Source organism: Homo sapiens, chromosome 20 (genome assembly GCF_000001405.40).
Source record: "Homo sapiens chromosome 20, GRCh38.p14 Primary Assembly".
NCBI classification, from domain to species: domain Eukaryota; kingdom Metazoa; phylum Chordata; class Mammalia; order Primates; family Hominidae; genus Homo; species Homo sapiens.
In genome coordinates, this window is record NC_000020.11 from 19,691,514 (window position 1) to 19,706,298 (window position 14,785).

The 14,785-nt window shown below is 43.7% G+C and overlaps 1 protein-coding gene across 1 annotated transcript in view; it reads left to right on the top strand.

The window, feature by feature from the left end:
- SLC24A3 (solute carrier family 24 member 3) overlaps window positions 1-14,785 on the top strand; it is a 510,285-nt gene that overhangs the window by 478,872 nt on the left and 16,628 nt on the right. The window contains exons 13-15 of the mRNA NM_020689.4: window positions 1,746-1,912; window positions 5,284-5,398; window positions 7,055-7,167. Coding sequence (NP_065740.2) covers window positions 1,746-1,912; window positions 5,284-5,398; window positions 7,055-7,167 — 395 coding nt within the window. The remainder of the gene's footprint in view (window positions 1-1,745; window positions 1,913-5,283; window positions 5,399-7,054; window positions 7,168-14,785) is intronic.

Consider the following 14,785-nt stretch of genomic DNA (forward strand, 5'->3'; position numbering starts at 1 on the left):
AATTTGGTTTTTGAGACTCTTTCCTCTGGCTACTGGTAGCAAACAGATGGAGGTAGGATAGGCATTGGAGCAGTAGTCCCCGTAGGAAGCCAGGTTGTCAGCCAGGCCTTGGTGAACCTGGCCCCAGCGGAGGCTGTGGGGATGATGAGATGGTGGGAATGTCCTGTCAGGTTGCCAGGGTTGGCTGTGGGGGATAAAAGAAAGGGAAAGATCAAGAATGACTCCCAGGATTTTGACAGGAACGACTTGTGAGCTCATGTTGTCCCAGCCCTCATCCTAATATCATCTCATTTAATTCTCCCAGCAACTCTGTGAGCTCGGTGCTGCTGTATACACATTTTCACAGATGAAGAAACTGAGGTGTAGAGAGTTTAATTAACTGAGTCTTTCAACTCATAAGCCACAGAGCAGGGACCGGAGCCCAGCACCATCTAATGAGAAACCCCTCTGCCTCCCATAGACACTGTGCCTCGGCCCTTTAAGAGAGGCCAGAGGGTGCCAGAAATAATGTTAGATACTTTTTCTATCTATGCAGTTTTAAGAAACTATTTGGAGATTGGTAGGATATATGAAACAAATACTGGATACTGGTCTAAAATTATAAAATACATTTTATTAAACATTTAATTACTGTTCAAATGTTATAATATAAAAATTCCTCCTTAACTCTGGTGGGAATATAAAATGGTTCAATCATTTTGGAAAACTGGCAGTTTCTTATAAAGTTAAATAAATACCCACCTTATGACTCAGCAATTTTCCTGGGTCTTCGTCCAAGAGAGATGAAACATGACCACAAAAAGACTTGTACAACAATGTTCATAGTCACCTGGCTTGTAATACCCTCAAACTGGCAACAAACAAATGCTCACCCACCGCCATATGGATAACAAATCGTAGCACATTCATAGGAGGGAATACTACACAGCAATTAAAAGGAATGGATCACGCAACATGAATGAATCTCAATCACATTATGTTGAAAAGAAGAAGGAAGGCACGAAAACATCCTATATGGTTTTATTTGAAGTTGGAGAACAGTAAAAACAATATCTATGGTGGTAGAGGGTGAGGGTTTGACTAGAAAGAGGCACAGCAAACTTTCTGGAAGGTAGAGGCACTGTGTATCTGGATTGCATTGAGGAATACATGGAAATATGTATGCATATTTATTTCTAGAGGTGAATTAGCAGTTAATCAGGTTAGTAATACAGGTCTAGGGAGAGCCTTCAAATCCTCTTTGAAGATTCCGGCGCGCTGACCGACGATGCTGAGAAATTCCACCAGGTGGCGCTGCGTCCGCTGACGCTTTATTATCGGGCGAAAACGTGGAAAACAGAAGCCCACTGGAGGTCTTCCTAGCTCCCCACCCCCATTTCGACCCCCTGCACCTACACACATTCCACCTCTTTTTTGACCTGAGTATCCTCCTCTCTTTTCCCACCTGGCCATCTGCCAAACCATCCCCCTAGCCTGGTATTACTAAGAAGTGATTCACCCTCTCATTTCGGAGACCTAATCAGCAGGTGGGCAGTGGGTAATTTTTTTTTTAATTCTGTTTGGTGTTGCATGTCAGGTTTCGTTGGTGATGGAAAGTCATTTGAATGTTTTAGAAAAAGAGCAATATAATAAGGTTTAATTCTGGGGAAAGCAGTACAGACACTTGGCAGAGCAAAGAAATAAAGCTAACTGGGGTTCTTTGTTATTTTTTTTTTATTTCTTTTTGGCCTTTTTCATTTTTCCAGCGGGTAAACTGGAAACAGTGAAATGGGCGTTCACCTGGCCGCTGAGTTTCGTCTTATACTTCACTGTACCCAACTGCAACAAGCCGCGCTGGGAGAAATGGTTCATGGTGACGTTTGCTTCCTCCACGCTGTGGATCGCAGCCTTCTCCTACATGATGGTGTGGATGGTGAGTGCAATCGGGACCCCATGGCACTGTTAAATCTCTTTAGAGAATAAAGAAGGGAATAAGAGTCAGGGTTTCAGCCGATAACTGTACTAGTCAGCTATTGCTACAATAAGCTGCACAACGAACCACTCCTAAACTTAGTAGTTTAGAATTGCAGGCATCGATTCTCCTGCTCACACGTCTTCATGTTGACTGTGGATTCATTAATCTTAGCTGGGACCTGCTATGCAGCTCTGCTTCAGGCTTCAGGGTGGTCATGTTTGATTCAGGCAGCAGGTGGGGTCCATGTCTACTCCACGTGTCTGCTCATTTTCTTTGTACCAGAGGCTAGCTACCTGGGGTATGCTCTTCTCACAGTGCATCATTAGAATGCAAGAGAGTACGTGGAAACACGAAATGCCTCCAGGATCTTCGCCTGGCCCTGACTTACCATCACGTCCACACACATTTTACTGGCCAAGCCCCACATCAATGGCATGGGGGAAGTGTACTCCACCTGCTCCAGTGGGAAGAACAGCCATGTCACAGGGCAAAGGACATGGAGGAAAGGCACAAAGAATTGGGAAATGATGATCAATCCCTATCGGCATCTTAGTTTCTTCAGCCAGACAATGAGGCATTGTATGAGGTGATCACTCAAGGGTCCCTTCTGAGGCTAAAATAATGACTCAGTGATTCACATTGGTTGATTGACATTGACTGATATTAGTTGATTGACATCGATTCAGTGGCTTTGACCTTAACAAAGCCATTTTAGGAAACCCAGCCTTCCAGAATGCATTACCCATTTATGGCTATACTTTTTAACTGGGGAGAAATTCCAAATCATTAGGATTGGACAGAAATTAAAAAGCATGGCAAAATGATGCAAATCCAAATTAATCTTGCCTTGAGTGTTGGATAGAAATGTAATATAAATTCTGGAGAATTAAACTCAAGAGCTAAAAAGAAGGTTATGAAAAAGATATTTTGGTAAGAACAAAAATACCCAGAAAAATTTTGCTACATGGGTTGCAAATTTGTAAACCTGACACAACTAATTCATAATCATCTCTTTCCTCAATATCACAAACATTTTTTTAAAACCCAAGTTTTATAGCCAGGGGTTTCTCCCTCATCCTGCATTCACTAATGTTTTCATCTGACATATGCACCAAGAGCCACCTCCTATCTGGATTTGGGGGACAGTGTTGGCTGTCCCTGACCTTAAGGTGCTACATGATTTTCTGTGCAGCCCCCTAACCAGCGGGCTAACTGACCTGACTCATCTGAGGTTCAACTTCCTTCTGTTTGCTTCCTTTTCCTCCAGTGGAGGTTCTAATAAGTCCCAATCAATGCCCAGGAGTAGGGAGAAAACTAGGAGAAGCCGGAGACCTGGTCCCAGCCACCTGAGCAGTCTGCTCCCCTGAACTCCAGACCCAGCCACAAACATGATCATGAAAATGATGAACCAGAGGCCAAGACTGGCTGAGCCAAACCAGGTTCCTACAGGGACTGAGCTGAGGGTTAAAAAGGAAAAACAAGGTTTGGCCAGGACGCTGGTAGCTCCATTTGATCCAGAGCGACAAAATAGAAACAGCGTGTGTTTCTGCAGCTCACTTTCCTCCCTGGAGACCGGAAGTCAGAAAGCCCTGTGGCCACCCCAGGTTAAATTCTGTTCAGTTCTGCTCAGTACTGAACAGAAATGAGCTGCATTCTCTGTCTGAAAGGAGGCAAGGCAAGCATCTCTATGGATTTCACTCACATCCCCCCAATCTTTGAACAGGGAAGGAGCGATTGTGGCCTTTGGAGTGAAGTCAGGGTTCCGGGTGTAGGTGTCTCTCAAGGGCTGGCCCAGGAGGAACTGTGAGAAGAATGTGCTCCTTACAACATGTGCTTTGCATTTCCTGTAATTTTATGGCAAGTGAGGGAGATCCAGTGGCATCCTAAAATGACCTGACAGTTTCAACTCTTGTGAGTTATCTTCTCCTTGGGCCCACATGCAGGGAATGTGTCTCTTTTTCCACTTACCTCTTTTTTTGCCACCAGCTCCCTCATCATCTGCCTCATCAACTGCTTTTGTTTTTTTAAGCATGCTTGCATTTGCTTTTTCTATATTTGCATAAATTTAAGCGGTACAAGTAAATTTGTTACATGGATATATTGTGTGATGGAAGTGACGAAGTCCTGACTTTAGTGTATCCATGACTGAAATAATGTTCATCGTACCCATTAAGTAATTTCTCGTCACCCACCCCACTTCATTCCGTGCTGAATTTAAACTGAGGTGGCCTCTGGCCTTCCTGTTTTTCAGTCTCCAGGGAGGAAATTGAGATGTAGAAACACAACATTTCTGCCCCCAATCCTTCCAAGACTCCATTGCCTATCATTCCACACCCCATGTCCAAGTGTACACATTACGTAGCACCCACTTATGAGTGAGAACATGTGGAGTTTGACTTTCTGTGTCTGAGCTGTTTCACTTAAGATGATGGTCCCCAGAAGCTATTATAGTGAAGAAGATGTTGACAAGGACAGCAAATTGCTACCAAGCTTCAAGGAATAGAGAAAAGGAAATGCTAGTTATGGCTTTCCCCTTTTTTTCCTTTTCTTTTTTTTTTTTTTTTTTGTGAGACAGGGTCTCACTGTGTTGCCGAGGCTGGAGTACAATGGCACTATCACAGCTCATCGCAGCCTGAACCTCCTGGGCTCAAGCCATCCTCCTGCCTCAGCCTCTCAAGGAGCTGGGACCACAGACATACACCACCATGCCCAGCTAATTTTTAAAATTTTTTGTGGAGACAAGGTCTCACTATGTTGCTCACGCTGGTCTAGAACTTTTGAACTTAAGCAATCCTCTCAACTTGGCCTCCCAGAGTGATAGGATTACAGGCCTGAGCCACCGTGCCCAACCTTAGAGTTATGCCTTTTCTAACAAGTATGGATACTGTCAAATCCAGCCCCTTTGCAGTTCTTCTAAATTCCCATTGTGCATCCTCCCTGACATGGACGCTCAAATTCCAAGCAAAGCATCCATCCATTCTGGATGCCTCAGGGCCACCCGTAGTTCAAATATTCTGTCCCAATATTGCCTTTTTCCCAGAAATTCTATTTTCTCTTCTCAAACCACCCGCCTCACCGGAAGAGAACAAGTGAAAAGGCCAATGTTTTGTTGGAAAGTTTGGGTCCTATTACAGCACCGTCCCCTGACCTGCAGCCCCGGTCGGCATCCACATAGTGTTTGTCACCCTCTGTATTGATACAGAGAGCAGACATTGCACCCCACAGAGATAGCCCAGACCATAGCCTGTTGTGAGTCTCCATCAGAAGAATCATGGGCAGGTGGGGCTTGAGGTGACCCTCAGCTGACCACCTCTTCCTGCTCCTTCTAGGTCACAATCATTGGTTACACCCTGGGGATTCCTGACGTCATCATGGGGATCACCTTCCTGGCTGCTGGGACCAGCGTGCCTGACTGCATGGCCAGCCTCATTGTGGCCAGACAAGGTGGGACTTCCAGTGGCAATGGGGAAGGAGGGAGGGAGGGAGGAGGAGAGGGAGGGAAGAAGGGAGGGAGGGAGGGAGGGAAGGAAGGCAGGAGGGAGAAGAGAAAGGGAGGGAGAAGAGAAGGAAAGAGGGAGGGAGGGAGTGAAGGAAAGAAGGAAGGAAGGGAGGAAGTCAGGCGGGCAGGCGGGCCTCTCTACCTGGGGGACCCACCTGGTAATTAACAGGGTTTGGAAGGAGGGAGGGTGATGCCGTGTTGGTTGAAAGGTTTCCTGGGCTCAGAAGAACAGAGAAATAATCCAGAAGGTCCTACCCTTGAGGAAAGCAAAGACATTTCCTAGGTAGCACCCATAGCCCCTTCTGGAGGCTGTATCACCATCCTCCTATTATTCAAAGTAGTAGGAAATGTACTGACAGCTAACCTTTACTGAGTAAAACATGATAGATGCACTATCTTATTTGATTTAAACAACAGCTCTGTGAAATAAGCACAATCATACCCCCATTTTATGGACAAGAAAATTGAGGCTTAGAGAGGACAAACCTCATCCCTAAGGCTGACCCACCTGCAGTGCCCTCTAAGTGACAGGTCCCAGAGGTCAGTTTTCAGAGTGTGACAGATCCTTCCCTCCTTCAAAGCCAAGCTCACAGGCTCACAGCTTACCTTCCCAAACAGATTCCCCAGATGGCCACACCCTTCTGTAGCACTCATTCTGACGCATCTGCCTGATTTATGCTGGAGGGCATTTGTTTCAAACAAATGTGTGTTGAGCTACAAAACTTAGCTCAGTGTCCCATAGACATCCTCATGAAGCTCTACTGTTGTCTACACTATTGTTCAGTTATTCCGAAGAAGGACTGGAGACAGTACAGGGCAGTTGGAAGATGACCCAGTATGCAGGTGTGAGCTCGGGAGTCACTTTCTAGAATGGTTGAGTTTATTCCTTTCCATAAGGGTGTCTCAGAATCTCCAGAATCCTTGAAACCATCTGTATTAGTGCGTCTCACATTGCTGTAAAGAAATACCTGAGGCTGAGTAATTTATCAAAAAAGAGCTCTAACTGGCTGATGGTTCTGCAGGCTGTACAAGAAGCATGCCAGCATCTGCTCGGCTTCTGGGGAGGCCTCAGGAAACTTCCAGTCATGGTGGAAGGTGAACGGGGAGCAGGCATGTCTTACACAGCAGGAGCAAGAGGGTGGGGGGAGGTGCTACACATGTTTAAATAACCAGATCTCACGAGATCTCACTCACTATCACAAAGCCGGTACCAATGGGGGATGGTGTTAAACCATTCATAAGAAACCACCCCCATAATCCAATCACTTCCCGCCAAGCCTCACCTCCAACACTGGGGACTACAATCCACATGAGATTTTGTGGGGACACAGACACAAAGCCTATCACTGTATTTGGTTTTTTGAATCACTTATATTCAATCAGTGATGATATTTGAAGTAAAGGTCAACCATTCAATAGAACGTGTGTTTCTCTGTTTTATAATTCATGTCATCCTTTCACATGGGTGATGGCCTTGAAAGAGAAGCACATATGTGAGCTTGCAGAACCACTCTCTGGCTGTGAGACTAAAGGCTTGGGAGAGTCCTGTGTGGGGCCCCTGGGTTCCCTTCCCTCTCTTAAGTGACCTCTTGTCCCTGCAGGGATGGGGGACATGGCTGTGTCCAACTCCATTGGGAGCAACGTGTTTGACATCCTGATTGGCCTCGGTCTCCCCTGGGCTCTGCAGACCCTGGCTGTGGATTACGGATCCTACGTAAGTGGTTTTCTCCAGGACTTCTCCTGAAATCCAGGGCTACGTGACTGTGTTTTAACAGCCTTGGCCACAGGGTCTTTGTCTCGGGGAAAAAGGGGTGTAGAAATCGTAATATTGAGGGGGAAACAAATTCTCCTTGTCAAAGGCCTTACTAGTCAGGCTTGCAGGGACATTCAGGACTTTAGAGCAGGGGCCAGCAAACTTTTTCTGTCGAGGGGCAAATACTAAATATTTTAGGCTTTGTGGGCCAGAGGATGTTTATACAGCTATTCAGCTTTGCTGCTGTAGCAGAAAAACGGCCATAGACAATAAATAACCAAACGGGCATGTCTGTTTCAATACAACTTTCCTAACAGAAACCGAAGTTTGAATTTTATATCATTTTTATATGTCATGATATATAACACTTCTTTTGATTTTTGTTCCAACCATTTAAATATGTAAAAACCATTCTTCACTCATGGACTATGCAGAAACAATTGGTGGGCCAAATTTGGCCCATGGGTCATAACTTGCCAACCCCTACTTTAGTGTACTTAGACTTGCTTCACCTTATTACAGGCTAAGTGATTCATGTCAGAGAAACACTGGAGAGATGCCATCCAGGCTGGCCACTGAAAGGGCAACGCCCTGGCGGGGAGAGGGGGAGAGGGTCACAGAATTCCAAATAACTCTTCTAAGTTCTGCAGCCCACAGGGTGAGACTTTTGCAGTCAGGCTCTTATGAATTGACTCACATCAGCCAAATTCACAAGAATTTGATGTCTAGGATAGAATGTCAACAGATGGTAGTAACAGATGGTAAGATATATAAGGGCTGTGCAGAAAGCATGTGCTTATTTTGGATGATATGTTCTCTATATTCCTGGAGAAATATCTTATGTGGGAATTATTTTGGGCATCCTATGACCATCCTCTAATTCAGGGTTTCAGGAGTACTCACAGATTACATTCATGGCTAAGGTTTATTATAGCACAGGATATGGGATAAAAGGAGCTGGAAAATGAAATGCATCAGGAGAAGCCCAGCGTGGTCAGCTGCAGGCCTCTAATTCCTTCCCTAATGAGTCACACAGGAAGTGCTTTCTCCCTTGCAGGAAACATGCATGAGATGTCTCTATCCAGGGAAGTCCACTGGAGGCTGAGGCTTTTGGGGAGGGCTGGTCAAGTAGGCACATTCCTGCTGCATGAACAGCCATGATGCCTGAATCTCAGAACCCCAGCATAGATACCAGGTAGACATTATAAAGTTTGGGAAATGATCGTGACAAATTGGTACAGCATGGCCTATCGCTTCTGGGGTACAAACCAATGTCATCAATTGTAGCATCCCAAGGGTCACATTCACAGGGGTTGGCCAAAGGTCAACCATGGTTCAGGACTCTCCTGGAGGTATGCAAGGATTAAATAACCAGGCCTGCTGTGTCAACAACTTTCGCAGAGAAGGTCAAATTATGGTTTTATTTTTCAGAATAAGTGTTGCTAGCTACTGTATTACCAAAAACCCCAAAATTCCACTGGAGTAGCCCAACACGGGATTGGTTTTTTACTCAAATTCCACTGCAGATGTTCCCATCCTGGCAGCTCTCATGTCTCTTCCAAGCAGAAACTCAGGGTTTGTGGCACAGTCCATCCAGTGGTTCTACCATCTTGAAGTCCTTCTCCCATAGCTACACAGAAAGCAGAGAAGGCAAGGGCATGGAATATTGTGTAGATCACTTTCTGATGAGGCCTGGAAGTGGTGTCTGTCCCAACTGTTCCCATCCCACTGTCCACATAAGTTACATGTACCCACTTGGATGCAAGAAGGATCCAGGTAATTAGGTTAGTGTTGTGCCTGAAATTCATATAGCCACATGTGGCTTGTGGCTGACTGTTGGACCCTGTAGCTCTAGAGGATTAAATGACAATCACCCAGAGTCTAATCCATAGATAACTATTGTTAACATTTCAGCATATTTTTCTTTCTCTAGGTTACTTTGTATAGCAAAGATCATCCTATGTAGGCAATTTTATACATTGCTTTTTATACTTCCTGTTATATCAAACGTTTTTTCCTCAAAATCTCATTGGAAACATCATCTTCAAGGTGACCTATTATTACAGTATATTCCAAAGTGTACTTAATCATGCTGCTGCTCTTGGACACTTATGTTGATTCAAACCTTTCACTGTTGTAAGTAGTGACACCACAGACATCTTTGTACATTAACCTATAGGTTTTAGAGTTTTACCTAAATCTATACTTTTCAAGTTAACATTTCAAGTTCTTCTTTAGATGATTTTTCTCAGTGTTAGAAAAGTTATATAAAAGATTGTTTTCCAGAATGACAATATTTTTTACATGGTTATTTGTCCAGATTCATTCCTGAAGTTTTGGGACAGCTTTATGACACCCTCATATCCTGACCACAGGAAGCCCCATGAGGGCTGACATTGAGCCTTTCACATGTCTGTCTTCTTCATGGCACACAGTATGGGGCAGGCACATACTCAAGCCATGAAAAGCATGTTGAATAAATGGGAATCCATGTTTAGCTCTTCCATGGCCTTTGCATTCACTTTCACCAGCAGTGAAAGTTACCTTTCATGAATTAGAGGGACACTTCAGGTCCAGGCTGAGACACGAGGGCATGAATAACCTCGTAATTTGGTGCCCCCCGAAACATATTTTTATTAAAAAAAAACATTAATTCAGCATTTATTTTCAAGATGAGATAAATGCTTCATGAGCAAAGGGTGGAGATGGGAGATTACTGGTTCCTTCAGTAATGCAGTCTTCTCTTGTTATCAAGAAGTTCAGCTCTGAACTCAAACTTGCATATCATGGTCTGAACAAAAGCTTCGCAGTTAACACAACCTAACTTCCTTAAAAAATATTTAGTGGCTTTCTGTCTCTACTCAGTCATACGTGACAAGGATGCCAATGAAGATACTCCTCAGCCCAACTCAGAGTGCTGCATGCAGGGGTCTGATGAACCCGTTGGCAGTCCATCTGGTTTACTCCTCAGCTTGTTTCACTTCCCCATTGACCTCTTATCAAAGTTATGAGGAATTAAAAATCAGAACTATCTGAATTTTAACTGCTTTTTGTCCCTCTGTTGAGGACTAGAAGACAATGGCTAAAAAACAGACATCAAAAAGAAGAAGAAAAAAAAACCTGGGCTCTAAACAACCTGAAGAATTCATCCCTGAATAATATATTTTCACCAGGATGACTCTCCAGTGAGGGAGGGACAGGCAGGAGCAGAGAATGAGAAACTTTCAATGTCCTTCAGATCCATGATGTTATTTCTTATTTTACTTTGATTAAAGGGGACAATCATAGAAGGTGAAATCAAAAACTTTCAAAACAAAACTAAAACTCACCCCAGAAGCAAACCAGTTTATCTTACTAACTTTGAAATCTTCCTGACTAGACATGGATATCAGGCCTGAAATTCCAACTCGATTCAGCACACCATAAATCATTCTCCTAATGATCTCTCCTCCTTTCCTCCCCTTCTGACATTTTCCCAATACTCTTTAGAGAACAAAAAAAATTAAACATTATTCTTCTATCAGTAATTCCCAGAGCTATGAAAGTATACTCTTTCCAGATCTCAATGTCTACTGACACGGTGACATCATGAAAACAAAAATTCAGGCTTTAGTGGATGTTTGGTCCAAATTCATGTTTTTCACCTGAAGATGACATAATTGGATCACTCTGGTCATTCTGCTGGAATTATACAAGGGCCACATTAAGTCTTGAAATTGAAGATCTACTTTATCCTTGAAGTCAAGGGGGAAATGCAGGAGAAGAAACCACTCTGGCTTATTATGATCAATAGCCATGACATGCACAAGAGTCCTCTTGGGGGAGACTTGGTTAGGAAGACTTTGGAGAAAGGTGTGTCATGTTGTGTTTCCATCCAAATGCTGCTGTTTCTGTAATAAGTGCAAAAAAAAAAAAAATCATTTTATGCTGGGGATACAAACATCCAATGCAGACCACTCTTTTGAAAGTAGAAAATCAGTAATATAATCAATAAACAGTTTATGAACTCCAGGGAAGTCAAGGAGATTCCATTTGATATATGGTGTGAGGTAGGGATTCAATTTTATTATTTGGCACATAGATATATAGTTGTTTCAGCACCGTCTGTTGAAAAGGAGATTTCATTTTGAGCTTTAAAAATTCAATGGAAAAATTTCTGGTTAGCTTATTTTTCAGTAATAATCACAACCTAGGAACTACTAGGAAGCCATGATTTGGTTAAAGCTGTGAATGTTGCATTTCATAAGTAATGCTAACTTCCACTATTTGGAAAAGTTTATCTTGAGTCAAGACTAAAATGTAAATGAACAAGAAACAGGGAAGGATCAACCTGGTGAACTGAATCGGGGAGTGAGGGTCATAAAATCAGCCCCAGATCCTAGTGGCATGCTTTAATATTCTGCATTCTCCTTATTCTACTCAAGTAGTTGCTCTCCTTCCTTGAGAGGGCATTTAATAAGGGAAGAATCCCTATGAAGAGAAGAACCCCAAATGCTCCCCACATCCTAAATCTTCTAATCCTTCTAAGCTCTGCCCAAATACATCCTCACACTGCACATAATCTCTTTCCACATCCCTGCTGGCCCATCCACGTTCTTCCTTGTTTCACAGTTATTAACCACATCTCTCTCTGCTGTTAGAATCTGAGTTTAAGACCTCATCCACTTAATGTCTGCCACTCACACTGCACCAGTATCCATCTGACACATAGAAGGACATTTTATTTGTTTAAATAGAGAATAAATTTTATTTTTTCAACTGCAGCAGCAAGCAATCCCTTTGTACATCAATAACTCCTGAGATCTTTGCCATGTGTCAGCCCAGTTAAATAATTTATATTAATGGTGGTGATCCTGAGTCATTCAAGAAAAAGTTAAGTTAGATCTCATATCCTCTAGGATAAGCATCAAGTGTATGATCTATTTCAAAGTGAAATATTTCATCAAAAATAGTTAAGGAACTAGCCTATAGAAAGGTAGACTTTAATTTTCCAGAAGCTTTTGCTTGTACAGACTATGCTTCTTTGACTAATAATGTTAGATCAAAATAGTAACAGTATTTGGCCCAACCAAACAATGCCTTTTGGTTTGCTTGGAAGCTGGGGTTCCCAGAAAATGGCACTCTGAACCCAGACTACCTCACAGAGGGGGTTACAGGGGCCCCAACCAAGGGCTTCTTTCTTTCTCTAGCTCATCCTTCAGGTATCAATATAGATGTTGAACTGGGATTTCCCAAGCCTGGACCAGATGTCATGCCTGTGTTCAGCAGTTCTCATCAAAGTGCTTACCTTTACCCCTTGGTCTGAGTCTCCCCCTGGAGAAGTGACCTCCCTGAAGACAGGAACTGTGCTCCTCTATGCATTTATTATTTTGTTTGTGCCTAGCGCAGTGCTTGGCACTTGGAACATATTCCACAAATATTTGTTGGATGGATGGATGGATGGATGGAGAGATGGATGGATGGATGGAGAGATGGATGGATGGATAGATGGATGGAGGAACATGTGTGAGCAAAGAAGAACAGAGCAGTAGGGTGACTTGAGAAGAGAGTAGGGGGGCAAGCACAACAGCAAAAAGAATAGCTAGAATTCACTGAGCATCTACTCTGCACCAGGCACTGTAGGAACACTGTATTCGCATGGTCTCATCTAATCCTTCCAACGCCTATGTAAGGGAATGATTATTCTTTCAACCAGGGCTTATTATGCACCCACTATATGCCAGGAACTTGTCAAGGCAATAGGGATTCAGAAGTGAACAAGGTAGACAAGACCTTTCCTCTTAGAGTATACATTGAGTGGGGAAGGATAGACAGTACATACGTGAACAAATGCCTGATTGCACTAACTTCAGAGGACATCTGCCTTATGCAGATGATGAGTTGAAGTGATGTTTTAGAGAGAGAGGTGCAGATGTCACTCTGTATTTACTGAACAGGAGATTAAGTTCTGTGTGGAGTCATGAGTGACAAGAGCCAGCCATGGGAAGAGAGGGGTGTGTGGCGAGCAGGGGAGCATTCTGAGAAGGAACAGTACTTGCAAAGGCGTCGAGGCAGGATGTGTCCTAGAACAGGAGACATGCTGGGCAGAGGTAGTGCAGAGTAAGGTGGGCAGGGGTCACACTGGGCCACCAAGACTGGTCACAGGGCTCAGGTTTCATGCTAAATCCAATATAGTTCTTAGCTCAGTTCTGCAGATTAGGAAACCAAGGCACAGCGGTTAAATCACACAGCCAGAAAGAGGCAGAGAGGAGTGCTTTCCTCAAAGCACTGACAACTATTGCCAAAGCAAATCATGCCACAGCAGTCACCCATGCATAACTCTGGGCTCAGAGGAGAAATTTCAGACCAGATCCATCCCTGAGTTTGAATCTTTGCTAAAAGACAGGGCAGGGTCTGCTTATTAATGCTTAGGTGGCTTCTTCAACTTTATATAAAGAAGTGAAGAGCTAGAAGGGGAGGAAATTCTGATCCCCAGTTTTCTATCCTAAAAGTACCAACAGGCATAATGGGGGCTGCACTCCTTGCTGTCCTGGGCCATGGTAACTGATATTTCTACAGGGATTTTCTGTCTGATGGTTGGAGGAACCTCTCTGGATCCTTTGTTCAGTCCCTGGTCCCTCCCTGGCTCTCTTTGGGTGTCTTCAAGTGGTCGATTCCTCATGCTCAGCCACACTGGGCAGGGTGGGGGACATCACCATGGAGCTCATGCCGAAATGCAGACGTTATTTGGAAAAATAATCCCAGGTTCATGAAAAAGCAAATCTAGGGCTTATTTGCTTGAGAGCATTTTGATCTGCCCTCTTCTCCACCACAAGCTTTTCCTATGAGAGGCTTTATTTCCAAAACGACACTCAAAAGCCTCTTTCATGTAGCATGGTAGTGACCGCATGACATCTTTCTGCATCTCTGACATCAGAACCGAGCAGCTACTGTGGGTTTAATGGCCCTCCTAACCTCACAAGGGACCTGCCAACAATTTTGAGCAATTTTTTCATCTCATCTAGATGGGATTTCCAAGTCATAATTATCTGATAATTACCATCCGGATGGCTGTTTTGTGCATGGCATTAGGTTTAAGCATTTGGCAGGGAAGGATGAATGCAGTTTTACAGATTTTGACATTTCTTAATACTCTGTGGCTTGCTCAGAAGGCAGCTAGTTACCTAAGTGCCCAAAATAAGAAATCTTTCTAAAAGTCAAAGTTTGGAAAATGAGCACTTCTTGTTCCATTATGGTGATGAACGTCTGTTCCACAAGCTTTAAGAGAGCTGAGAAAGTCACCATGCAGGCTCCAGGAAGCCAGGGCAAAACTCATATTTCTAGCTAGGGCTTAGAAATGTAAAATAAATCTGAGATGCAATGGAGGGAGGGTGTCTGTCTCTCTCTCTCCAAGCAAGAGACCACCAGAGTCCAGAAACAACAGAGACAAAAAGAAGAGCTGTCCAGAAATATTCTCACCCCACACTGTCTGCCTGGTTTATTCTTTCTTTGACAAAGTGTTAATTGAGTGCCTACTATGTGCTATGCTGGTAACCACTGGAGATGGTGCAGTAAGCAAGACAGTCAGAGGCCTATGCTC